The 26,748-nt window shown below is 44.2% G+C and overlaps 1 protein-coding gene and 2 long non-coding RNA genes across 9 annotated transcripts in view, besides 2 other annotated features; 2 read left to right on the top strand and 1 right to left on the bottom strand.

Annotated features, from left to right (window-relative positions):
• The first annotated feature begins 8,352 nt into the window (after nt 1–8,352).
• LOC112268209 (uncharacterized) lies at nt 8,353–21,102 on the top strand. Its single transcript, XR_002958202.1, has 3 exons — nt 8,353–8,476; nt 17,552–17,693; nt 21,080–21,102. It is a non-coding gene; the product is annotated as an uncharacterized LOC112268209 (long non-coding RNA).
• LOC105372159 (uncharacterized) lies at nt 13,155–24,218 on the bottom strand. Its single transcript, XR_935562.3, has 3 exons — nt 24,051–24,218; nt 17,137–17,308; nt 13,155–13,576 (listed from the first exon to the last, which is right to left on the bottom strand). It is a non-coding gene; the product is annotated as an uncharacterized LOC105372159 (long non-coding RNA).
• Nucleotides 24,209–24,358: a silencer, noted in NCBI's record as "silent region_9500". NCBI's record gives its function as "represses an Ori minimal core promoter by ATAC-STARR-seq in GM12878 lymphoblastoid cells {active_cell/tissue: GM12878}" and the evidence as "EXISTENCE:reporter gene assay evidence [ECO:0000049][PMID:35858748]".
• RNF152 (ring finger protein 152) overlaps nt 24,359–26,748 on the top strand; it is an 86,346-nt gene continuing 83,956 nt past the window's right edge. For 5 of the 7 annotated variants that reach the window (XM_017025612.2, XM_005266650.4, XM_011525878.3 and 2 more), the window contains exons 1-2: nt 24,359–24,621; nt 25,854–25,976. The gene's annotated coding sequence lies outside the window, so the exon portion shown is untranslated. Of the gene's footprint in view, nt 24,622–25,763; nt 25,977–26,748 lie in introns of those variants that run through there. The other 2 variants (XM_005266652.4, NM_173557.3) reach the window with 2 other exon arrangements.
• Nucleotides 24,429–24,578: a silencer, noted in NCBI's record as "silent region_9499". NCBI's record gives its function as "represses an Ori minimal core promoter by ATAC-STARR-seq in GM12878 lymphoblastoid cells {active_cell/tissue: GM12878}" and the evidence as "EXISTENCE:reporter gene assay evidence [ECO:0000049][PMID:35858748]".

The following is a 26,748-nucleotide window of genomic DNA, read 5'->3' as shown; positions in this document are numbered from 1 at the left end:
TTGGTATTTGAGGTGAGGACAGTCTTTTGGGACTGAATCCTTAAACCTGCGGAGTCTGATGCTGACTCTGGGTGGTTTGTGTCAGAATTGAATATGACTTTTGGACACCAACTTGGTATTGAAAAGTCAGAGAATCTGAGAACCTCTGAGGTTCATTTCTGCCAAGTTTTGTAACCCATTACATCTCAGCTGGGACCAGGGGGAGGTGTGTGTGTTTCTTCTTGGGGTCTCCACAGTGTGTGTGCAATTGCATTGATGGGGGGCTGTCTTTCTCTTCTGGATTGCTGCTACCAGATGGGCGTCTTAGGGTGACAAATTAGTGGTCTAGATGAGCAACGATAGAGCTAACAGTCAAGAAAATAGGGAGGTTGGTTCCCATTGCCAAGGTCACCCTTGAACTGCAAACATGAAGCTGCAGGTAAGCCACCTCACATGACCACAGGTGCTGTGCTTAGTACGAAGGATTTTCAGATAGGTGCAAAACACTGCCCAATCCAGACTGAAAATATCCCCCTCAGCCACTAGGATTTTCTCATTCATTGTGAATCTTTTTTGGTAATGGACAAGGTGCAGTAGACATATGAATAAACACATAAATAAATTTCATCTTCATGTTAATGTCACTAGGATGAGTCTTGTTCTAAGGAGTTTCCATGCCCCCAGAAATCATGTGTCTCACCTCATGATTCATATTTTCCATTTTGAAATGCTTTCCCACAAGCCATTTTCTTTCAGGTTCTGGGCCTATGAAGCGAAATTAATTTACTTGCCTGTTTTCTGTGGTGTCAGCTCAGCCCTGTTAATTTGGTTGCTAGAGGACATGTGTTATAATGCTCCATGAGAACTAAAAATGTTTTCCAGCTTGTAAATTGCTTTTTGTTTATTTAATTGTGTCTTTCATCGACTATATATTCAGCATATTCCTCTGGGGTCTTCTGCACATTAACAATTCAAAAACCACTGACCCATAATCATATTAAAACTCCCATTTTGTCTCCAGTTTACCCATAACAGAATCCTCATACAGGAGCTGGGCAGAAGCCTTGTTAATAGCCAATCTTGCATCTAAAACACTAATGCTTTGTGGAGTAACTAGGGATTGTAAACTCAAATTGCGAGCCATTTTATTATTGCAAATACCGTCATTATCATACAATTGCAAAACATTCCAAATTTTATTAATCTAGGTAGTCATCTCCTGATCAGTTTATTTATTTTCTTTCGGTCAGGGTTACAGACCTTTCCAAAAGGTAAAAATGAAAGTAGTTCCTAGTGAAAAAAAGGGCTTCCAGGTTCTTTGTGGGTGATGAATGAATCCTGGGTCTCTCAGTGATTCAAAATCAAGAGGTCATTCTCACAGTAACCTGAGGGATTGGAATACATCACTTAAGAAGCTTGTCCTCTCAAAAAGTAGTTTAAGCTTGGGACATTTGAAGTGTTAGCCTAAATTTGTTTCCCCAGCTAAACTTTGTCCTTATTAATCTTCCAGATTAGACCCTTAGCCTGTTTCTGAGTAGAAAATTCAAAGTATTTGTTTAAAACAACAATGACGCTGAATGTCTGCCAGGTTTTGATTACCCAGACAAGTAATAATGTCTGTCATGTTAGTAACAGCATGATCTAAATTTCATAATTCAGTTTTATTGGTGGTTATATTATGAAAAAAAAAGGAGACAAGTTTAAAGCTGCAGGTATACATAGCCATTCATCCAGTCAGTCTTTGTGCGGTGTGGTTGTTTAGACTTTTCAACAATAATTAAGGTTGATTTTTGCACAATTATTTGGATTGCTATGTGGTTAAGCCAATTCGGTCATTATGACTGCTAAGATAATAGACTATTCTGTTATATTTATTTTGGCCATGTTAGGACAAATGAGGCTATATTTTAAGGAAATGTAACTGGCTAATTAAGTGGGATGATCTCAGTGGATACAAAAGTGATACAGAATTATTTATTTTTCTCTTCATGGCTTTGTCCAATCTGTGTTCCCTGACCCAGGATAGCACTTTAGGAAGGTCTCATTGCTTTTGAATGGCTCTCAGTTGTAAGAACAATCTGAGGTGCTGTGATTCACTTTCAGGAGCTAAAATGTCTCCTCGAGTCTAAATCAAAACTTCAATCTCTCATTCCATCCAGAGCTTCTTCCCTCCCCACCCCTGGCCTCACCTTGGCTCAGAGACACAGTGGGAGGGGCCACTTCCTTCACTCTTCTTCTCCCTTTTCTTGTCCTTCCGACGTCTTCTTCAAAATGCCCTCTCTGGCCTCTGGGAAGGGGTCTCTTGGGGCCTCCCACTTCCGGCTCAGGGTAGGAGGAAGAAGCTCTCAAACTGGGTGCTTGATAACATTCTCTAATTGCTCTTTTCTATCACTGGCCTTTCTTACATAAGCTGAAGGTGGACTTCAGGAATTTTTCTCTGATGGTTCTCAGCATTGGGGCTGTACTCAAAATATGTGACAAGAAAAGTCCCATTAAACATCTTTTTACAGATGCATATATCACAGCACAGATATATGCCAGTGTAGAAACTTCTCTTTATATAATCAGAGGCTTGTCTTTTTAGAGACAAACATTAGTTCTAGAAGTTCTTTAGTTTACTAGGGAAGAAGGGACTCTACTCTAGTGAGTAGAAAAGAATAGCCAATATGGAGCTTGGGAAACTGCTGCTTTTCGCTTTAGGGCCTAGACGATCTGTGTGTCTTGTTAGATTGTGTCTGTCATGCACGTGGTAAGATGATGCTGGTGTCCATATTGACACGGTGGTCCCCATTTGTTGGAAATAGAGTTGGGATCATCTATTTTCTCTTGGTACCACCTCTGGGGGAGAAGGTGGGTGGTCTGAATAATGTGGAGAGAAATTTTGAGCTTTGTGCTAATTTAATTTGTTGATATTTTCATTTAACTACTCTGTTGGGACCATTAAATCAATGTGGATGATTTTTTGAAGAATATAGTCTAGAAAATTCAATTATTTAGTGCCTGGAAGGGTTTTGAAGATTAAAATGCTGTGTAAAAATGTGTAAATATTTATTATTACAATTAAATACATGTTTGCTCCATGCAATTAAATTGTATTGTCCAAATGGTTTGCATAACTCAAAACAAATTTAGTATTATTTTTGTTTCATCTTTTCCTAGTGCACCCCAGGCGAATTAGAAATTGCTTTCCTCTGTTACTCCCATAGATTTTTCTTTATACCTTCATTTTAGTTAGATTCAATTTCATTCGATTTCATTTCATTTCATATAACACTTATTAAGTGTAAACTATGTTCTAGGTACTGTGCTAGGCCTTGAAGAACAAAACATTGAATCATACCCTCCAACAAGCATTTTTTTTGTGTGTGTGAACTTTAATGCAATTAGTTCCATGGTAGGAACAAAATTAAGGGAGGCAGTGGGGAGGGGACATTTATCATTGTTCCTGGTGCTGAAGAGGTTAAAGGTAAATGATTTTGGTTACATTGAATTAACTATGAATGCTTTCAGCAAAACTGCATCGTTTCTTTTGTGAAAGGATTCAAATCTTTGTGGACAGATGGAGAAAGTTCTCCTCTTCTCCACCCCTAAAGAAGAGGTGCAAGAGAAAACTATGGTAGCAAAACTTTCCTTTCACTAGTTTTGCCCTTGAACTTGATGAACACACTTCTGCAAATTGGAAATATTTCTGAGGTTTCCACACTGTTCAAATTTCCAGCAAGTGTGCCAATGGTGATGGCAGACTTCTTCCTGGAGTTAGGAAGTTTTCTTCAATTGCTCATAACTCTGGCTTGTTTACTGAGGAATTAATCCTGAATATTAAACAGTTGGTATTCTAGAGAAAATCATTGGTAAGGAACAGGGCTTATGAGTGTGGAGTCACTGAAAATGTAAGAATTAGCAAATCAAGATTTGGGCTGGGCGTGGTGGCTCATGCCTGTAATCCCAGCACATTGGGGAGGCCAAGGCGGGTGGATTGCCTGATGTCAGGAGTTTGAGACCACCCTGGCCAATGTGGTGAAACTCCATCTCTACTGAAAATACAATAATTAGGTGGGCATGGTGGTGGGCGCCTCTAATACCAGCTACTCCGGAGGCTGAGGCAGGAAAATTGCTTGAACCTGGGAGGCGGAGGTTGCAGTGAGCCGAGATCATGCCATTGCACTCCAGCCTGGGCTACAAGACAAAACTCAGTCTCAAAAAAAAAGAAAGTGAAGATTTGGACGTAGATCCTTAAGAGGATTAGCAGAGTTTTTAAAGGGGAAGGACATTAAATAGACTAAACTAAGCAAAAAATATATATATTAAAGTTAAAATACAAAAAGGAAGGATGATAATTACAAACCATTTGTCTTTGTTTAAAAAGCAAGATAGAAGTCACCCATATTAAACATATTTATTGTTGAAATGTTGGATTCTGAAGAGGATAAGAAAAACATTTTTCTGCTTACTTCTTGTCTATAAACATGTTTCATAACCTATTAAAAGCTCCTTAGAAGCAAAAACCTTTTTAAACCATTTTGGTCAGGCAACAAGTTTGATGGAATATGGGGTTAACTGAGTGTAAAAGACCAATAAAATAAATAAAATGATGAAAGATAGGAACAAAAGAAAGTGAAAGGAAAAATTACAGAATAAATGGAGTAATTTTCATTTCTTACATGCCCTAAAACAAATTATAGAAGATATAAATTTTTATTCCTTGAGAATTTGAAAAAAATCTACTAGCAAAATGATCTGGTTCCAGATCCTTTTTTGAGAACTAGTTCTTAGATTATTTTTTCAGTTTATTTTATTGTTACTGCTGTAGCATATTTTACTGTTTCTGGTTTCAGTTTTGGAAATTTGTATTTCTCAGATAATGTCCAGATTCTGGAATGTATTAGCATAGGGTTAAACATGGTACAAGAATTGCATATACAAGCTTATACTAATCTATTTAGATAAATTCCCTTTATATTAATTGTTGCATACTCTACCATTTCTAAATCTGTATTATCACTATTATTTGTCTTCATTTAATCCTTCAGACATGGTTTATTTTGCTTATTTTTTCTTAAGTATAAAGCTCTTGAATTTGTTGGCCAATTCCTAATCTTATTGTTTTGGGATTTCTACCTCTATTATTTTCTTTTTTCTCTTTATTTTAGGTATATATGATGTTTTTATAGCTTCTAGAGTTCAATAATTAGTTTTTCTTTTTTCAGCCTTTCTTGAATTACAGTGAAAGCTTTTAAAACTTTGAATATGTTTCTGGGTACAATTTTGAGCAAATTCCTTAAGTTTTAATATATACAGTTCTAATTCCGATTTCTTCTAAATAGTATGCATTTTTATAGTAGCACGGTAGGATGTATATTAAACATACATATACAAATACACATGTATTTGTGTGTCTATATATTATAAATCTCCAATGGACATTTATAAGCATATATATATTTTTAAAATTTTAGCTTCGGGGGCACATGTGTGAGTTTATTATGTGCCTGTATTGCATGTTGCTGAGGTTTGGGTTTCAATTGAACCCATCACCCAAATAGTGAACATGGTACCCAATAGGTAGTTTTTTTTCCTCCCTTTGTAAATATATATTCTTATTTATTTATTTATTTATTTTGAGATGGAGTTTCACTCTTGTTACCCAGGCTGGAGTGCAATGGCATGATCTTGGCTCAATGCAATCTCCACCTCCTGGATTCAAGCAATCCTCCGGCCTCAGCCTCCCGAGTAGCTGGGATTACAGACACCCACCACCACACCCGGCTAATTTTTTTGTATTTTTAGTAGAGAGGGGTTTTTGCCATGTTGGCCACGCTGGTGTCGAATTCCTGACCTCAGGTGATCCACCTGCCTTGGCCTCCCAAAGTGCTGGGATTACAGGCATGAGCCACCGTGCCCTGCTGTAAATGTAAATTCTTAAATGAATACAGACAGGTATTAAATTAAATATATTGGTCAAATATTCCTAGGCTTCTTTCGTAACTTTACAGTATCTCCCCGCTTCTCAGTATATAAACATATTTGACCTTAGAAAATCTTCTCTCAATGCTGGTATTTCTTTGAGGCAGTGCTGGCTCTCCCCTTACCTGCACTGTATTTAGAAGTGTTGGCCACACCTTCACATACCAGGACCTCATTACTTGCTCCCTTGAAGCAAAAGGTTTGAATTCTTAAAATTCGAAACTTTAAGCATTCATTGAGAATCTACTTGAGGTAGGCAGTAAACATGTGATGAGATCTGTGATCTGAAAGAGCTTGCACTGGGTTTGAATTCCAAGGCTCACATCAAGGACCTCTGATTTTGCTTGGTAGGAGACAGCCTTATTCTGAAGCTAGTTAGGAAGAAGGGAGAACAAAGGCAGAACAGTGGCTTCTCTGAGCAATGGCTTCATTGTGCTTTCCTCTTCTTACCCTAGCCAGAGAGGTTAAGATTGGCGAGAGGAAAGGGCAGGCTGAGACCTCAAACTCTGGCTTTGAGGTCAGAAACACGGAGAGCAGGACCACTCTCCATGAATCTGGAAGGTGGGTGCCATGACCAGGCTGCCAAGAGCTTTTGTCTCTTTAGCAAGGGGTCAGTGGGACCCAGAGAAGGATATCCAGAGGTTTGGCTGATAATTTGTAGCTGTCAGGTCTTCCACTCAGAGTGGGGGTCCTATTTCCTCTCCTTCTACTTATAGGAATGCAATACCCTTTTTAATGTACTCTGGGATGCCCACCTTAACAGATGATTCTGATCTAATGTTACAGATCATGTTTTTCTGGGCACCGTCTCATCCCTTGTGTGACCCCCAAATTTTTAAGCCACTGCACTACTCTGCTATATATAATCCAAAGTGCTTTCTAATTTAAAATAAGCAAACACAACAATCTAAATATACAACATTTATTTATCCTGCCCTCCTGAAGCAGAGATTGAATGTTATAGAATATTGTGGCTAGAAAAAGAGGCATCCCCTCTGACCCTGACTCAGACACCTGACCTTTCCAGTGTTTGGGGTTCAAGGCTCCTTCGCCATCCAGGTTCCTCTGCTCTTCCCTCTCACTGTCCAGCCAGGCAGCCCCTGCACTAGCTGTGCAGGACTTCTCCTGGGCTCTAGATCACATGACTCTATGTTTTTGCACCTTCTTTTCTTTCTGACATGCCTCTGAAGCCTGTTTTTACTTATATCTGACAAACTTCTGCTTGGTCTGCAAGACCCAGCTCCATACAACCTCCTCTAGGAGTCAGGCCTCTGTTGAATAACACTGACAGTCATTGATCTCAAAGTAGCCTTTAGCAAATAAGAATAACTAAATGCAGAGGTGCTGTGGCTTCAGAGAATCCCAGAGCTGGTAAGGTCATCAGGGCAGGCTTCTCCAGCTCTACTTCCCTCCATGTGGATGTCAGTCTCTCCAGGTCACAGTAAGGATGCTTGCTGGCAGCTCCGCCAGGCTTGCCCCTATCTCAGAAGAAGAGAGGAACTCTTCCATGAGTTCCAGCAGAAGTCTCTGGGGAATGGTTTGCATTCGCCTAGCTTGTGTCATGTACCCATCCTTGAACCAGTGTCTATGGCAGAGAGACACTATGTCCAGGGCATATGTGTAATTGGAAGGGCTCCTTCAAATGATATAAAAAGAGGCACTGTATTACCAGAAGACAGGGGAAAGGGTGCTGAGTATGCAGAAACAACAAAGGTGAAACATTCCACACAAAACCTTTCCTGACTCCCTTATATTTAGCTACTTCTATCTCTGTTCTCCCATTGTGCTTTCTTATTTCCCTCTTACAGTACTTACTGCATTGTATAGCAATACCTACTTACTTGTCTCTCTTTGCTATTTGTAGAATTAAGTGAAGGTTCTCCCTGTTATTTTTATCTATCACAATGCAATGCACCTGACAGGTGCTCCATAAAGGCTTACCAAATAAGCCTTGTCTTGAATTAAAAGACAAGAGTTTGAATGTAGGGAAGATTATGGCAAGTGAATGTGGTGGTTTTAAATACAGATGTTCCTCAACTTAAAAGGGGTTATGCCCCAATAAATCCACTTTAAGTCAAAAATATTATAAGTCAAAATGCATTTAATACCCCGTAAACTCATTGTGAGGTCAAAAAAATCATAAATGGAACAATAATAAATTGCGGATCATTTATATGTGCACAAATTCTTTAATACCTTCCCTTCCAAAGCTGGAGACAATTCCCTTTTTCTTGAATGTGGGCCACTCTTAGTGACACACTTCTAACAAATAGAATAAAGAGGAAATATTGATGTGCAACTTTGGCAACTTTGGAGACTAGATCATAAAAGACAAATGGCTTCCTGCTGTCTCTCTCTCTCTCTCTCTCTCTGTCTCTTTTTTTTGTCTCTGTCTCTCATCAGATTCTCAGGGGGAAGCCAGCTGCCATGCTGTGAGGATATTCAGGCAAACCTGTGGAGGGGCTCATGTGGCAAAGAGCTGAAGCCTTCTGGTCAGGCCAGTGAGGAGCAGTGGCATCCTTCCAGCAGCCATGTGAGTGAACAATCTTGAGAGCAGGTCACCCAGTCCCAGTCAAGCCTTCAGAAGAGGGTGGCCTCAGCTGACACCTAAGCAACCTCATGAAAGGCCCTGAGCCAGAACCACCTAGCTAAGCCACTCCCTGCTTCCTAACCCCCAAGGAACTGTGAGAGATGATAAATGTTTGACTCTTTTAAGCTGGTAAATTTGGAACTAATTTGTTATACAGCAATAGACAACTGTTGCAGTGTGTAAGATCTTCACAGAGAAGTACAATGAGGGTTAAAGAAGGAACAGGTGAAATATCCACACAGGGGGATAGACAGCAGAAATTTCTCCAAAGAAGAGGGGGGCATTGGAGATGGGTCTTCCAGAGGACTGACCCCACATGTGCATATGGAGAAGAGAAGTAACATTTCAGGAAAAAGAACAAGGAGATGGAAAAGTGAAGATCATGCTCAGGGCCTAGGGACAGTCTCAGTGATTTACCTCAATGGTACAAGTAAGAAATCAGTGGGAGATGATCAGGAAAGGTGGTGGTACTCAAAAGTAAAGTACCCTGTGTGCATCCTCTTTCTCACTCAAACCCCTAAGGACAGCCGTCTCTCCTGTTTGGTCCTTGAACCTCTTCTCTTTCATTACTGAGTTGCTTATTGATCTCCCCCATATCTAAGATGTTAATCAATTTCTACTGAATTGTTTAAGATGCAACCCAGTGATTCAGTCTCACACCGCCAATGGTTTGCTGGTCTTCTGCACCTGCATATGCTACCAGCAACTAAAATACTTTGTCTCTTAAATCCATCTTCCCTTCCAGCCATCCTGCCTTCAATCTCAAGAACGGCCCTGCTGTGGTTGACATCACCCAGGTTTTTTCCCCATGGGCCATGAATCTGGGTGTAGATGTGGAAATCCAAGAGGCAAACAATCTCATGGAATGTTTCCAAGGACAGAATTTAGCACCACTGGATAGAAGTCTGTGGGACACTTCAGGGGAAGCATTGTCCATATCACTACCTTTAGGGTTTGCCACCTCCAGCCCCCACTGAAGAACACACATTTGTCGTACACATACCCACACTGTTTACCAACTGTGGGATGGATGCCTGTTTTTGATCACATTGAAAGCAGCAATTTTCCTTTTATTCCAATCCCGAATGCAGCTGCTCCCAGTCATATGTGTTTCCATCCTGGTCTCGTTAAAGATGAGGTTAAAGAGGTAGTTAGTCCCTGAGGCTAAAAACCTCATTGTCTTGGCGTCTCTCCGCAGTTCAATGTCAAGTCTCATCAATTCTGCCTTCCCATGGTCTCTGGCTTTCAGGCCCTGCCTTACAGCCAGGCTGTGCCACAGCCCACAGGTTCTCCACCTGGCTGCAGTTGAGAGTCCCAGGAAGTTTTGAAAAACTCCCTTACCTGGATTTCACCCAAGACCAATTAAATCAGAATATCTGGGGGTGACGTCTAGACACCTCATTGTTTGAAAGTTCATCCAGCAACTGGAATGTGCGGTCAGGGTGGAGGAGAAAAAGACTTGCCCATGCAGACCTGACCTGGCTGTGCTCGTTAATTACTCCCACCTGGGAAATCATTCGCACTTTCCGAGAATCAATTTGCAATTCTATAAAATGCAATAATACTTTCCAAGCAGGATTATCAAAAGAGCAAATGAAACAGCGATGTGAAAAGATGTGAAAATGTAAAGAAGTAGGTACTACTATTGTGATGATCACACTGTTACTGCTACCCAGTCTAATTCTAGTCTAATCACCTCATGGGAACTGGGGTAATGACTTTCTAGCTGCATGCTTTGCCTCTAGTAGCTGCTCTCCAACTCATCTTTCATACCAGGGCCAGGTCAGCTTTTCTAAATCATCCTTTTGCTCAAGAACAATCCTCCTTTTCATTTCTACCAAACTTAAGTCCACCACTCTACACCTCCTTAAGTTGAAACCCAAAGAACTTTTTTAACCTTATTTTCTATTTCCTAAATATGGCTCATGTATGTCCAACCGTCACCACCCAGCTAGCCAACCACACAACCAGGGTTTGAGTTCCTATTATGTGACAGCATTGTGCTAGAACTGTGGGAAAATGCAAAGATGAACCAGAGGTACATGAACCAAGAAGTTGACCATCAGAAGCTCATAGAAATGATCAATTTTAGATCAATACAATCCCTGAAGTCATTTTAATTTTCCCATCTCTCTGCCTCTGTATTCTCTAACACCAAGGTGTGCCCAATGCTCACCAGCTATGAATAGCTCTTGAAAACGCTTTAAAAGATGAACAGACACAATGTTCAATTACTAAATGGAAAAATAACTTGTGTCTGTTCCCCAGATGACAATAGTTGGCAGACCTGGCTTCATGGGCATGTGACCTGTACAATCACACAAGGTCCCATACTCAGAAGGGTCCAACGTGTGGTTTAATGCACTGCTGTTATCATCTTGAAATTCTTAATAACTTTTGGAAAGGCACCCTCCATTTCCATTTTGTATTGGGGCCTACACAATGATAGTGAGTGATAATGTTTGATGATTCATTGGTTTTCTTTTTTATTGTTTTAAAAAGGATTTAAGGCAGTATTAAAAATGGCTAAAATGAAGGAAGATAAAATAAAATTTAAAAGTAGCTCTTTAAGAAGGCAAAGGAAAAACAAGATTAGGAAGTTAAGATGGAGTGGGGACTGAGTTCATTCCCTTGAAAAGCATGTCAGGATGGCCCATGGCAATCCCAGCAGCCATGGTGAGAAGGAAGGAATGACCAGTTATAAGACGTGCATTAAACATGATCAGTGACTAAGGAAGAAGCACAAATATCCCTGATAGGAGACCAGAGGGAAATTTCTCTCATCAGTCTTCATAATTGGGATATGCTAAAATACTCTTTAGGGACAACATGACTGGCAACATCCATACCGTGAACCCAGCAACAAGTGGCACAGGGTCAGTTCTTTTGATTTTCCTCACACTAGAGGCAACACACAATTTAGTAAAATTGCTTAGCATAGCTTTGCCCGTGGCGGGGGCTCAGCACATATGTGCCCAGTGAGTGAATGAATGAAAAAATATGATGGGGTACACGAAGCAAAGTAGGTGTCTGTCTCTGGTGATCTGACTTAATTCAGGGATAGATTTTACAGTATTTGAAGAATGGATGGGCTCCATATTCTTTAGAGAATCCTCCAAAGAGAAACGCTGATTCTTTTTTGTGTTTCAAGGGATACTATGCACCCTGCAGAATGGGAGAAAATGTTTGCAAATCACATATCTGATAAGGAATAGTAATCCAGAATGTGTAAAGAATGTCTAAAACTCAACATCAACAAAAACAAACAATTCAAAAATGGGCAAAGGACTTGAGTAGACGTTTCTCCAGAAAAGATATGAATGGCCAGTAAACACATGAAAAAATGCTCAACATCACTAATCATTAGAGAAATGCAAATCAAAACCACTGTGAGACGCCGTGCCGTATCCATTAGGATGGCTATTATTAAAAAAATGAAATGAGCAAGTGTTGGCAGGGATGTGGAGAAATTAGGACCCTTGTGCACTGTTGGTGGAAATGTAAAACAGCATTGCCGCCATGGAAAACAGTAGGAAGCTTGCTCATACATTTAAAAGTAAAACTACCATATGATCTGGTAATTCCACTTATGGGTATATGCTTGAAAGAATTGAAAGCAGGGACTCAGCCAGGTATTTGTACACCGATGTTCATAGCAACATTATTTGCAATAGCTGAAAGGTGGAAACAAGCCAGATGTCCACTGACAGATGAATGGATAAACAAAATGCAATATATGCATACCATGGACTATATATAAGTCTTAAAAAGAAGGGAATTCTGATATGTGCTAAGGCATGAATGAATCTTGAAAGCATTAGAGGAAAAAAATGAACCACACATAAAAGAAAAATATTGTTATGAGTACACTTATATGAGATACCCAGAGAAGTCAAATTCATAGAGACAGAAGGGGAAATGGTGGTTGCCAGGGGTTGGAGGAGGCAAGTAGGGAGTTACTGTTTAATGAATACAGAGTTCCAGTTTGGGATGATGAAAAATTTCTGGAGGCCAGGCGTGGTGGCTCATGCCTGTAATCCCAGTACTTTGGGAGGCCAAGGCAGGCAGATCACCTGAGGCCAGGAGTTCGAGACCAGCCTGGCCAACATGGCAAAACCCTGTCTGTACTAAAAATATAAAAATTAGCCAGGCATGGTGGCCCATGCCTGTAACCCCAGGTACTCAGGAGAATGAGACAGGGAGAATTGCTTGAACCCGGGAGGGGGAGGTTGCAGTGAGCCAAGATCGCACCATTGCACTCCAGCCTGGGCAACAAGAGTGAAACTCCATCTCAAAAAAAAAAAAAAAAAAAAAAAAAAAGTTCTGGAAATGAATAGTGGTGATGGTTGCATGATAATGTAGATATACTTAATGCCACTGAACTGACACTTAAAAGTGGTTAAAATGGCCAATCATATGTATTTTTTAACCAGCTTAAGAAAACACGCAAAATGTTGTTTCTCTCTGTTGGAACTTTGAAACTCTGTATAGCAGTGAATCTGAGGTTATTTCTAATAATACGATGTCTAAAAACTGGTCTTACTGTGGAAAATCAAAGCATATTGGTAGAAAAGGCATATCGAGATGATTTCAGCAGCAAATAGCAGAAGGCAACACAAAATGGCTTAAATAATAAGGAATTTATTATCTCACACAAGGAAAAATGTAGGGGGTGGGAGCACCTGTAGGGTTTGTGAACTCAGGCAAAGTGATGTCATTGGTGCTGTTTCCTCTTCTCCCCGTAGAATGTTCTCTTGGAGGAAACTCTGCTCTTTGCTACAAGGTGGCTGCCGTCATCCTACTATCATATGCAGATTCGGTAACATCCAGCAGCAGAAGAGAAGCTGCCGCTTTGCGCATCTCTTTTTGATAGTGAGGAATGCTTTTTCTAGAAGCCTTCCAGCCGACTTCCTCTCATCTCTCATTGTCCAATACTGGTCACATCCCGATCCTTAAACCAATCATGAGCACAAGAAATGGGACCACCACAGGTTACTGCATAACTAGTTAGGATCATCTGAGGCACTTGGGTTGGGGAGGACACTGGAACAGAAAAAGGAATATGCCACATGGGGAAAGGCAACATAGACGACCAACGGGACACAGCCAGGCCTTGAAGTTCACTGGAAGCATAATCCTGGGTGACTTGCATTAATATCTCTGAGCCTCAATTTCCACAACTGTGAACTGAGGATAACAATACCCCCTGCACCCAATTAGGTGGCTGGGAGAATTGAGAGAATGTTTGCAAAGCACCTAATATAGTGATTTATACACATTACTGTACTGAATATCATCTCATTGCTGACATACACAATAATGCTTCATAATAATAGCTATCATTACTGTTTTTCTTCTCCCAAAAGGGAGAACACACAATTTCTTGGTTATCTTTTTAGCTTACCCATGGAGGTAAACACTCAGAAAATAAATGGCATCTAGATAAAGAACCGCTGCAGGTTGTGGAATCCAATTCTGTGTCAACAAGCGTCCTAGGACATATTCGCTTGTAGGGCTACCATGATAAAATGCCACAGACTGGGTAGTTTAAACAGCAGAAATTTATTGTCTCACAGTTCTGGAGGCCAGAACCTTGAAATCAAGGTGTCAAAAGGATTGGTTTCTTCTGAGGGCTGTGAGGGAAGGATCTGTTCCAGGCCTGTCTCCTTGGCTTACAGACTGCTGCCTGCTCCCTGTCTTCACATCATCTCCCCTCTGTATTTGTCTACGCCCGTAATTTCCTCTACTTATTTATTTATTTTATTTTGAGACAGAATCTCACTCTTTCACCCAGGCTGGAGTACAGTGGCATGATCTCGGCTCACCGTAACCTCTGCCTTGCGGGTTCAAGTGAATCTCCTGCCTCAGCCTCCCAAGTAGCTGGGATTACAGGCACCTGCCACCATGCCCAGCCAATTTCCTCTACTTATATGAACATCAGTCCTACAGGATTAGAGCCCACCTTACTGACCTGATCTTAATTCGATGATCTCTGTAAAGACCCTAATCTCCAAACATTCTGAGGTACTGGGGGTTAGAACTTCAACATCTGAATTTTAGAGGAAATAATTCAACTTGTAACATAAGGTGAAGATTGGCATTGGGAAGTCTATATTCCTTAAAACCAAGAGTGAGAACTCTCATGACATGTCATAACCATTTACCCTACCCACACCCATCCCCTTCTCTAATCTCTGTTTTAAATGAATTTGGAAAATAATCCTAAATCTCACACTGACAGAGCTGGATCAACTGGGTTGTAATAGACTTGTGAAGAGACAATTTAGAGAGAATTTCCCTAGAGGGGCTACAGGAAACACGACTCTGAAAGAGAGAATAGAAAGTCCCAACTGGTCATTTTAAATGATTTTTTTTTTTAATTTTTTTTTTTTTTATTATACTCTAAGTTTTAGGGTACATGTGCACATTGTGCAGGTTAGTTACATATGTATACATGTGCCATGCTGGTGCGCTGCACCCACTAACGTGTCATCTAGCATTAGGTATATCTCCCAATGCTATCCCTCCCCCCTCCCCCGACCCCACCACAGTCCCCAGAGTGTGATATTCCCCTTCCTGTGTCCATGTGATCTCATTGTTCAATTCCCACCTATGAGTGAGAATATGCGGTGTTTGGTTTTTTGTTCTTGCGATAGTTTACTGAGAATGATGGTTTCCAATTTCATCCATGTCCCTTCCTTACACCTTATACAAAAATCAATTCAAGATGGATTAAAGATTTAAACGTTAGACCTAAAACCATAAAAACCCTAGAAGAAAACCTAGGCATTACCATTCAGGACATAGGCGTGGGCAAGGACTTCATGTCCAAAACACCAAAAGCAATGGCAACAAAAGCCAAAATTGACAAATGGGATGTAATTAAACTAAAGAGCTTCTGCACAGCAAAAGAAACTACCATCAGAGTGAACAGGCAACCTACAACATGGGAGAAAATTTAAATGATTTTTTTTTTAAGACAAAGTCTCACTCTGTTGCCCAGCCCAGACTAGAGCACAGTGGGTCACTGCAACCTCTACCTCCTGGGCTCAAGCGATTCTCCCACCTCAGGCTCCCAAGGAGCTGGAATTACATGGAGCCTGGAGCAACTGAGTTGTAACAGATTTGTGAAGAGACAATTTAGGGATAATTCTCCTAGAGGGGCTATAGGAAACATGACTCTGGAAGAGAAAATAGAAAGTACTGACTGGTCATTTTTAAATGAACTTTTTTTTTTTTTTTTTTTTTTTTTACGACGGAGTCTCACTCTCTTCCCCAGGCTAGAGTGCAGTGACGTGATCTCGGCTCACTGCAACCTCTACCTCCCGGGCTCAAGTGATGCTCCCACCTCAGCCTCCCAAGTAGCTGGGATTATAGGCACTCAACACCACACCCAGCTAATTTGCGTATTTTTATATGTTGGCCAGGCTGGTCTTGAACTCCTGACCTTAGGTGGTCCACCTACCTCTGCCTCCCAAAGTGCTGGGATTACAGGCAGGAGCCACTGTGCCCGGACCATTTTAAATGAACATTTATTAAGCACTGAATGCATGCAGAGCATGAACACTTTATTCTGCATGATGCTGTGGGGTGTGGGTGTGCATGGGTGGATGAGATGGAAAAATAACAGCTCAGGATCTACTGACCATTACAAATGTGTGAACAGCTAACTATGAGATAAAGCAGAATGCAAGTGCAAAATAAAACAACAAACAATGTGTTATAAGAGTGCAAAGAAGGTAAAAATGAATCTGGTTGGGGAAATTTGAGTGAGCTTTGAAGGGGAGAAGGTCAAGGTGAGAGGCAGAGACATAAATGCCCCAGAAACTTTGAAATTACTGTATCTTTTGGGATTGACAAGTACAAATGTGGGTTGCGCTGCTGCATAAGGAAAGGTACAAAGGAGCTGTGAGAGTGAGGATAAGGAGGAGCAGATTGACTTGAAATCATGGGGGAGATATGGGGTCCTAAAGTACTGTGAGCCGCAGTGTCAGGCACCCTGAGCTAAAATAGGAATGGCTTGGAAGAGACTGAGATGCATTTTAAGGCAAATCAAGTGCAATTGCCTGTATACTTTGGTCTATGGGAGGAAGCAGTGCAGCAATTAGGGGAAATAGCTTTGGGTTCGGCAGACCTGAGTCAAGTCCACGTTCACCATTTACTGGTTACATCATATTGGGAAAGATGCTTAAATTCTCTAGGCATTTGTTTTCTCATCTGTAACGTGAGGATAATCATATTACTTCTAGTGTTCTTGCAAGGACACGTATGGAAACACACACACAATCTGGTACATACACTCAATAAATGTTTGCCAATAAAAAAGAAATTATAGTAATCTATTAATTTTGGATATGGTTGCTATCCTGAAGTTCCCTTGTCCTGTAGCAGAATAATTTGTGTCCTTTAAAACAATCAAATCTGCTGTGAACATTTAAGGAGTTGTGGAGATAGAAGGAAAAGGGTTGAGAAATGAGCAAGGGGTCTTTACTCCATGCCCTCTCCCAGCACACTTCACCCACTGGGAAGGCAGGGAAGGAACAGCAGAGGAGAAACACTGCAGTTAGAATCAGAGGAGGTGGGTTTGTGGAGACACGTCTTACTTGGCATTTCCCTGTGCTGACCTCCTCAAGGTCTGACCTGGCTGATGTGCAGAGGCTGCCACTTCTCTTCTTGACCACTAGAGGGTGGACTGACTTGAGCCCCTAGATCCAGGTGCAGCAGAAACAGACGTTTGGATTCCTTGAGTTTGAATGATGAGGGCAGGCGCAGTGGCTGAAAGCAGAGACAGTGGGGAGGAAGAACTGCGTGAAGCTAGGTCTGGACCTGGGGCAGGTACAGGGGTGCTAGGTCCACTTGGATGAGGTGCAGGTGGATTACAGAAGAATAGATCCTGGAGAAACTGGAGCCAGATTCTGCAGACCAGCAGAGGGCAAGACATTGGATTCAGACTTGGGGGTCTCAAAAAACAGTGGTGGGACCTCCTGGCTCTTTTGTTCCTTTTCTCCTTTCTCAAAGTGGCACCATTCCATGATCTGGCAGCTGGAGCAGCAGGAGGGGAGGGGCCAAGTGGATGCCAGGAACCTGATAGCCAATGGAAAGGAAAGATAAGGAGGACAGTTGGAACCGCATGGGTGACAGAAGGTGACCTGGAGGGAAGGTGAGTAGGACAGATGGTGGAGGTGGCAGACAGTGGGGTGAGAGGGGAGCTCCACATCCAACCCTTCCCTGGCTGATCACATGTGGTCACTCCAATCCATTAGGGAGGGCGAACACTGTCTTGTGTTGATTGTACAAGGAATGGAGCTCAGTGTATGATGATTCTCCTCTATCGTACTTATAGCAAAGACACCAGCAATTTGCTAGTGGATGTGAGGATCTTACTCAACCCCGAACTGCACAAACATGATAAGAACACAGCAGATACCTGCTGCTTAGGAGGGTGTCCAGAGGACTTTGGCATCATAGTCTGAGCTGATGTTTAGCCAGGACACACACCATAAAGGCCATACTGATTGTGTATGGTCATTGCCCAAAATGATAGGTGGAGGTCTGCGCCTGCAGGTTGTTAAACATGTTGCATGGTGACCGACCATCGCCCTTGGCAATGGTCACATCATTCTAGCCAACTGTTTTGGAATGTGTGTTGTGCATATCGAAGATGAGGTTAAAAAAATAGAGAGGCGGGGTGTGTTGACTCACGCCTGTAATCCTAGCACTTTAGGATCACTTGAGGTGGGTGGGTCACTTGAGGTCAGGAGTTCGAGACCAGCCTGGTCAACTGGTGAAACCCCATCTCTATTAAAAACACAAAAATTAGCCCGGCGTCGTGGCACATGCCTGTAATCCCAGCTACTCAGGAAGCTAAGGCAGGAGAATTGCTTGAACCCAGAAGGCCAAGATTGCGCCACTGCACTCCAGCCTGGGCGACAGAGGGAGACTCCATCTCAAAACCCAAAAAAAAAAAAAAAAAAAAGAAAGAAAGAAAATAGAGATGGCTTTGTTCAATCCACCACTACTTTTAGAAAAGCAATTTGGATTATTTCCTATTCAAATCTTTTGAGGTTTCCAAAATACTTCAGTATTTTGTTCTAGATGAAGTTTCATTGTCCTAAGTAGCACTGGGCTCTAAATAGGAAAGAGATTAGACAATATGTCAAATTAATACCTTTTGCATCCAGAACATCTTACCAGAATAAGAAGTCTGTGGGATTGGTTTATATAGGGCCCCAAAATAAGAACAGTTTTGAAGTGTGCACTATATTAAGCAATCATTACTAGTAAACTTTTTGAGGCTAAATAAACTTTAAGACTTTTTTTTGTTTTTTTTTTTTTTGAGATGGAGTCTCGCTCTGTTGCCCAGGCTGGAGTGCAGTGGTGTGATCTCGGCTCACTGCAGCCTTAGCCTCCCAGGTTCCAGCCATTCTCCTGCCTCAGCCTCCCTGGTAGCTGGGATTACAGGCACATGCCACCACACCTGGCTAATTTTTACATTTTCAGTAGAGACGGGGTTTTACCATGTTGGCCAGGCTGGTCTCGAACTCCTGGTCTCAGGTGATCCACCTGCCTTGGCCTCCCAATGTGATAGGATTACAGGTGTGAGCCACCATGCCTGGCCTAACTTTAAGACTTCTTAGACTTTTTAAGACTATATATACTTTAAGGTGGCTAATATCACATAAGGGAAAAGTAAATTGGCAGATCAATTTGGTCTGCAAATTTTAAACATCTATTAGGAAGGATGATAACGTGTTCGGTTAAAGACGACTTTGTGGCTTATTATTGACAGCTTGTGAAAATTGTCTAAACATGGGATCCCACTTCAATGCTTTTAAACAGTTTATTGAGGTATAATTTACATACCATAAAATCCACTCGTGTTAAGTGTAGAATTCAATGATTTTTAGTAGATTTACTGGGTTGTGCAACTACCACCCTAATTCAGTTTCAAGGTGCAATTTTAACATGTAAAATTCAAACACGTTGAGTAGAAAAGTCACTCTCAGTATTGGACTGGATTAGGATCTGTAGTGATAATCAAGCACTGAATAGGGTTTGCTTGTTTCCTCCTCCCGATTTCTCTCTCTCTCTGCCTTCTTGCCCCACTGTCCGCCTTCTTCTTAGCGTGTTAGGTGCTGAGGATACAAGTTGAAAGATGATCTCTGCCCTCCCAGATCAGGAAGACAGTAATGAAAAGCGACTGAAGAGATCATCACATTCTTTTGTGAAAGTGTCATCCCCGACAGAAGGGCTGCCCTGGGTATTATGGGATCACATTAATCTCAGCTCCATGCCAGGTTCTGGGAGATTTAAGGGCTCAGCTCAATAAACATTTATTGGGCACCTGTGCTCCATGCTGCAGGTACAAAGATGAAGAACTCATCCCTGCCCCAATGTAAGCAACTCTAATACAACCTCAGGTGACTCAGCATCAATCAATGTTATAGATCTGACTGTCCCTGTAACCCAGTTCCAGCATCTCGACCTTTGCCCGCGGGGAAGTGCAGACACCCCCCACTTGTTCCCTCTGATGATGGCAACAGGCTTTCCCTATTTACTGGCATGACACTGTGCTTTTCTTCCTGCAGTTTTCAGCTCAGAAAATGCCTCCTCAGGGAGGCCCTCCCTGGCCACTGATCTAAAATTTCCCCCCCAACACACAGACTTCATAATGCCCCACCCCCACTTTTTCTTTTTCTTTTTCTTTTTTCTATTCTTTTTTTTTCTTTTTTCTTTTCTTTTTTTTTTTTTTTGAGACAGAGTCTCGCTCTGTCGCCCAGGCTGGAGTGCAGTGGTGTGAGCTCCGCTCACTGCAAGCTCCGCCTCCCGGGTTCACGCCATTCTCCCGCCTCAGCCTCCCGAGTAGCTGGGACTGCAGGCGCCCGCCACCTCGCCCGGCTAATTTTTTGTATTTTTAGTAGAGACGGGGTTTCACCGTGTTAGCCGGGATGGTCTCGATCTCCTGACCTCGTGATCCGCCCGCCTCGGCCTCCCAAAGTGCTGGGATTACAGGCGTGAGCCACCGCGCCCGGCCCCCACTTTGTTTTCTCCCTTACCTTTTTCACTCTCCAACATACGATTTATTTATTTATCATGGGACTAAACTCTGATTTTTTTTTTTTCATCTTGCCCAAATTCCTATCTAAGGGGTCTGGGGAGTCATGCCCTACAAATCATAAATTCTCATCAGATGGGTTTTATTTAACCCTATATATCATGATTTACTTTCCAACCTGACTCTGGCATAACATTATAAGGCAAAAAAGAATATCAAAATATTTTACCCCAAAACATGTTTCTTTCCATATTTTGAAATGACTCTGCAAAGCTGTTCTTTGTGGAGGAAAATTGGCATCTGTAAAGAATCTCTATTAACATAGCTAGATATTTTTCTTCCAGACGCTCTCAATCCTAAAGAGATTAACTAAGATCTGAATAGGAAACATTTGTCACCTACTGTCTCTAAGGGCAGCCGCTATAAGATTTCAAAAGAACTTTGGTCTCCATAATCTTGATCTTAACCTGAACATTCCCTTTCTATTTCAGGTCTTTAGACAAACTCAACCAATTGTCAACCAGAAAATGTTTAAATTCACCTATAGCCTGGAAGCCCCTGCTTTGAGTTGTTCCGCCTTTCTGGACCAGTATTTCTTAAATGTATCTGATTGGTGTCTCATGCCTCCCTAAAATGTATAAAACCAAGCTGTACCCTGACCACCTTGGGCACATGTTCTCGGGACCTCCTGAGGGCTGTGTCATGGGCCATGGTCACTCATATTTGGCTCAGAATAAATCTCTTCAAATATTTTACAGAGTTCAACTCTTTTCATCAATATTTTTGGTATTGTCTGATTCCTCCATTAGAATGTAAGTTCTGTGAGGGCAGGAATTTGGGGGCGTTTTCTCTATCCTAACCCTAGGACCAGGTTCCCAGTACATAGTCCATACTCAATGAATATTTGTTGTATGAATTCATGAATATTTGGATCTTTATCTCAGTCCCCAGTGCTGGGGTCCCATCCTGACAGCCCTAGTCCTTCAAGACCTGGGATTCAGCCTTGATTCCCTCTCTCTCTCCCACACATGGGCAGTGCCCAGTCTCCAGGGCAATGCCAGATTCTCTGACCATGCTGCTTGCTGGCTTGCAGCTCTAAACACTACCTGGTCCTAACAGCCTTGATCCTGGAATTTCTCACCGAAGACTCTGCTGGGACGTGTTGTTGCCTGTTCTTCCTCTGACTCAAACTGTTTTTGCCCGCCCCAGTGCTGGCCTACGACCAGCCTTAAGAACTGGCCTATCCCAGTCTGCCCTAGTTAATTAACCTTCTCTGTGTGACAGCTTTACAAGACTGGACAGAAGGCAGAACACCCATGATGCTCTGTGAATTAAAATCCCAGCCAGTGGAAGTGAAAGAGTCAGGATGGGGGTGGTTATTCCACATCGAGTTGAATGCTTGAATCCCCCAAACAATAGTTCCAAAAGCAGCTGAATAAAAGAGTTGAAAAATTTTGGAACAATTACTGATCCCTGAAATTAGCTTCTGAAGAGTAGTCTTTAAAGTCATTCTTGTATAATCATAACATTTCTAGGCTGAACTTTCCTAGTAAAATTTGGGATGTTATAACTCATCTTCCTTATTCCAACTCCTTGCCAACATCAGAGTTTTCAAGACCCTCATTAACTTCTCCTTAAAGTGAATTTCTGGAGCTGGGCTTGGTGGCTTACGCCTGCAATTCCAGCACTTTGGGAGGCTGAGGCAGGAAGATCACTTGAGGCCAGGATCAAGACCAAACCAGAGCAACAAAGAGAGACCCCTATCTCTACAAAAATAAAAAAATACAAAAATTAACTGGGCATGGTGGCACTCCTGAAGTCTCCCAGCTACTTGGGAGGCTGAGGCAGGGGGATGCTTGAGCCTGGGAGATTGAGGTTGTGGTGAGCCAGGATTTTGGCCACTACACTCCAGCCTGGGCAACACAGTGAGACCCTGTCTCAAAAAAAAAAAAAAAAAAAAAAAAATTCTCCTTCCTGCCCTGAAGTTGGGGCTTAAAATAAAGACTCTTGAAGTCTTCTACTTCAGGATTACCTTAGGCTTCTAAAACATGGATACAGCTTTTACTCTTTTCAGGTGTACGAAGGAGGTTTTAGCTTGGGTGAACAAAGGGATAAGGATCAGTCAGATGACCATAGGAGGCAACGTTTTAATTGGGATCCCAGGGACAACTGATACCCATGAAGCTTTATCTGTTTCTAGATGACCAGTTTTATGTATGTGCTTAAGGACAGCACTTTTGGAAACCCCATCAACAGGTCGTAATTGTGGGACATGACAAGAGTGCTCTCAGTACATTGTGAGTTTTATAGTAGGTTACCTAGAGTCCCCACTGGCTCACAGGGCTTCCTCTAAAAAAAAAAAAAAAAAAAAAAAAAAAAAAAAAAAAAGGCGCGGTGGCTCATGCCTGCAATCCCAGCACTTTGGGAGGCCGAGGCGGGCGGATCACCTGAGGTCAGGAGTTCGAGACCAGCCTGGCCAACATGGCGAAACCCCATCTCTACCAAAAATACAAAAATTAGCAGGACGTGGTGGTGCGGGCCTGTAATCCCAGCTACTTGGAAGGCTGAGGCAGGAGAATCGCTTGAACCCGGAAGTTGGAGGTTTCAGTGAGCTGAGATCGCGCCACTGCACTCCAGCCTGGGTGACAGAGCGAGAGTCCATCTTCAAAAAAAAAAAAACAGAAAAAGTAAAAAAAGAAATCTTGGCAGAAGCATTTCAATAAGCTACTTGGGGGAGTGAAAATGGGGACTCTTTCCTTGCGGATACTACGGACCTTAAGACAAAGACGGCTCCACTCCAGCAGTGGGGAAAGGCAGCAAGTGCCGCTGGAATCCGTGGGGATCACACTCAACTGAGCCCTGCTGCTGGGGACCGGGTAACGTCCGCAGGCTGAACTTCATCTCAAGAAGAGAGTTTTAGGTTTTCATGCTGCAGAGAAATCCTTTAAAAAGGCACCAAAGGGCATGGAACTATCTTCTACCAAGGACCTTTCTCCTCCATTCTCCTATTTCGCAGTTAACTCAAGAGGCGGGAGATTTTCTCCGGGGAACAAGACATTCTAAGCACCTCCCTAGGTCGAAGTTAGGTTTTAAGGTGTGGAATAGGGTGGGCCCCGAGGTTCCGTGGGGTTCGCGCTTCCATATAACCCCTAGGACTTGCATCTCTTTACTCCCCTGCTTCTTGTCCCCCATTCGAGGGATTCAAGTAGTGGGGTGTCCATTCGGGCCTCTTTGGAAAGCGGGGCCCCACCCTGGCTGGACTACGTGAACTTTTAGGGGCAGCCAAAAAGTATCCGGTGACGAGGATGCAGGGCAGCTTCTGGAAACCTGATGATCTCAGCTCCTCCCTCTCGCTGTCCGGGTCCTAGGCACAGACTGGGCACCCCCCAACCCACCCACCGCGGCCCCGGCCCCCTTCCCGGCCCTGCCCCTCCTCCCGGCTGCCCAGGCCTCCTTTCACACCTGCCGCCAGCTCAGGTCCCGCTTTTGCACGGTAGAGAGACGGCGTCGAGGTCCTGGCCGAGGGTAGGCACTGGGGGCAAAGCCGAGGGAGCGCGCGAGAGAGGGTAGGCAGCCCCTCACCCCGGGGGAGGTGGGCGATTCGGGACTGACGGAGAGAAGTCCCGGGCCCGCCGGGCTGTGGGCGGGGAGGAGGGGGTGGAGCCGCCGGGGAGGGCGGTGCCGCGGGGAGCGGAGCCCAGCCTCTCCCCCCACCCCCTTTGGTGCCGGAGTCTCAGTGACACAAAAAGCTCTCGCTCGGTGCCGAGCGCCTGGCGGCGGTGTCCGACCGCGAACGCGGAGGGCGGCCGGGCAGGTGGGGGTGCCGCCCGAAGGGCCGGGCCGGGTGCTGGGGCTGCAGGCGCCGCCGCCGCGCTGTCAGCGTCCGCCCCGTGGCTCTCGGCCGGAGGAGCGGCGGCCGCCGGCCCGGGGCGCGAGTCTGGCTGAAAGGAGCGGGCGCGCCGGGACCACCCGGCGATGCTGTCGCCGCCGCCGCCGCCTCTGTAGCGAGCACCCGAGCCCGCCGCGGAGAAAGGTCAGTGAGTTTCGGTTTGTTTCTCTGCTCTGCCGGCTCCGGATCGGGGGCGGACAGAGGGGTGCGCAGGGATGTCTGCGCCCCTACGGCGGCCGCGCCGAAGCCGTGGAAGCGGGAAAGGGCAGCTGCCGCCTGCTGTAACTGGGGAGATCTTCTGGACCGCGGAGGGGGTGGCGGGGCCGCAGGGTCCCGGGGAGGGGAGCGCGGGGTCTGGCGGGGCACGGGGGAGGTGGTCCCGGGAGTTGCGTGTCTCCTGAGAGCTGGCGGAGTTGGGCGGGCGGCCGCGGCGGGGAGCGGCGCTGTCGGCTGCTCGGCCGAGTCCTCGGATGCCCCCTGGAGCTCCGGTCCGAGGGAGCTTTCCTCGTGCCCGCGCCGCGCGCGCCCCTGGGTGTGCACGTGCGCGCGCGCCCGCCCCAGTTGCGCCCCCGGCCCGCACACACCCCGGCTCATCTTCTCCCGGTCCCCTTGTCTCGCGCCTTCTCCAGCCCTAGAAGTTGCCCCAGGGCCCCTCCCGGGATTAGAGAGCGCTGTGAAGGGCCAGATGTTGGGGGTCTTTTGTGCAGACACACGCGCCTGGGGCGCTTGCTCCTGGAAGGACAGCGGCAGGACAAAGCCAGCTGGACTCGTGGGGCGCTGCTCGGGAAGCGGCGGTCCCCAATCCCGCCTGGGGTCGGGGCATGGCTTGGGGAGCGCTGCCTGGGTCTGGAGAGAGTAGAGAAATCGCCAAAGCAGAGTGACGGTGACTTGATGAGGTGACGGTGACTTGATGAGGTGGCGGTGACTTGATGAGGTGGCGGACAGGGGCAAACGAAAGAAAGATGCTCGGGATTGCCGCGCTGTGTGCCTGTCTGCGCGGCTGACTAGGCGCCCCGCATTCCCATATGACCGGGTTACCTGGTAGATTTTGCCAGTGTGTCTTTGCCCCAAGATGTTATTCCCCACCTGCTCCGATTTCTTTCTTTCCTAGGGCTTACTGTTGCTAGTAGGCGCTCTGCCACCAGAGGGGAACTCGTGGGCGGGGGAGACTGCGGAGGAGGGGGGAGGTGGTTATTTATCCTGTAGAGACAATTAGGAGCCGTGACGCCCCCTTCTCGGCCGCCAGCCCTCCACACCTCATCTGCCTTGCTCCACCTCCCTAGTGCACCCGCTCCAGCCCCGTCTGCCCAGGAGGGCGCTTGGATTTCCTTCTCCGCGGCGCGTATCTAACCCTTCCTGCATGTATTTCACTGCAGGCTGAAGAAAGCTCAGTCTCAATTGTGTTTCCTGCCTGTCAGCCTCTTGCCTCCTAAACGTGTACCATTTCCACTTGATGTCATCACGCAGAAGGGGTGAAAGAGACTCGGTGACAGATACAGGTAACCCCCCACGATCTGGGTAGCGCCTGGGTGTCTCTGGGTCATTTGGGCCGACAGTGCTGGCACAGGGCTGTTTGGGTGGTTTCTGCATCAACATCGTTCCTATCTGTGAGAAGGTGTGGGGGCTGCTAAAACTCCTGGTTCAAAGAAATAAATTGCAAATGACTTTATACCTTCCCTTTGAAGAAGCCATTGGAGGTAGGTGCAGGGTGAATTTGGGATTGTAGAAATCCCACCTGGTTTCCTTTCATGGGAATTTTGATATAATTCATACACAGGCAGTTGTATCTGAATGTTAGGTTTCCATAGATGCCTGCTTTCTTATCTGTAGTAATAGATTTAGGCTTCAGTCTAGAGGTGGGGTATCCTTTGTTGAAAAGGTATCATTGGAAGGCTGATTGTACTTTTGCCCAGTGCTCTAATTGAGCACCGGTCAAATGCAGTGACCTTCGTATGAAATACTGTCTTTCTTCTGTTCCTTCATTGTAATAGTGTTTGCAATATTAAGAGAGACATGCTAGCAGTGAGTACTGGGAGGTGGAAGGGAGGGCTGTTGGGGGCAGCAGAAAGAGAACAGAGAAAACAGCTTGAGTGAAGTTTCCATTTAGATAGCCATGAACCAGTAGACTCTCATTCTGGATTTTATCTTTAGGTTATTGGGGCTTTTCCAAAAACTCTGGCCTGTTCTTTTCTTTCCAAGGATAGTTCTGTTTTGATGTCAGCCTAGCCAGATCTGGGGTTATCTTGATAAGAGTGCAATGAAAAAACGTAA

Source organism: Homo sapiens, chromosome 18 (assembly GCF_000001405.40).
Source record: "Homo sapiens chromosome 18, GRCh38.p14 Primary Assembly".
Lineage (NCBI taxonomy): Eukaryota > Metazoa > Chordata > Mammalia > Primates > Hominidae > Homo > Homo sapiens.
Note: the sequence above shows the minus strand (reverse complement) of the source record. Positions and strands in the feature narration are given on the sequence as shown.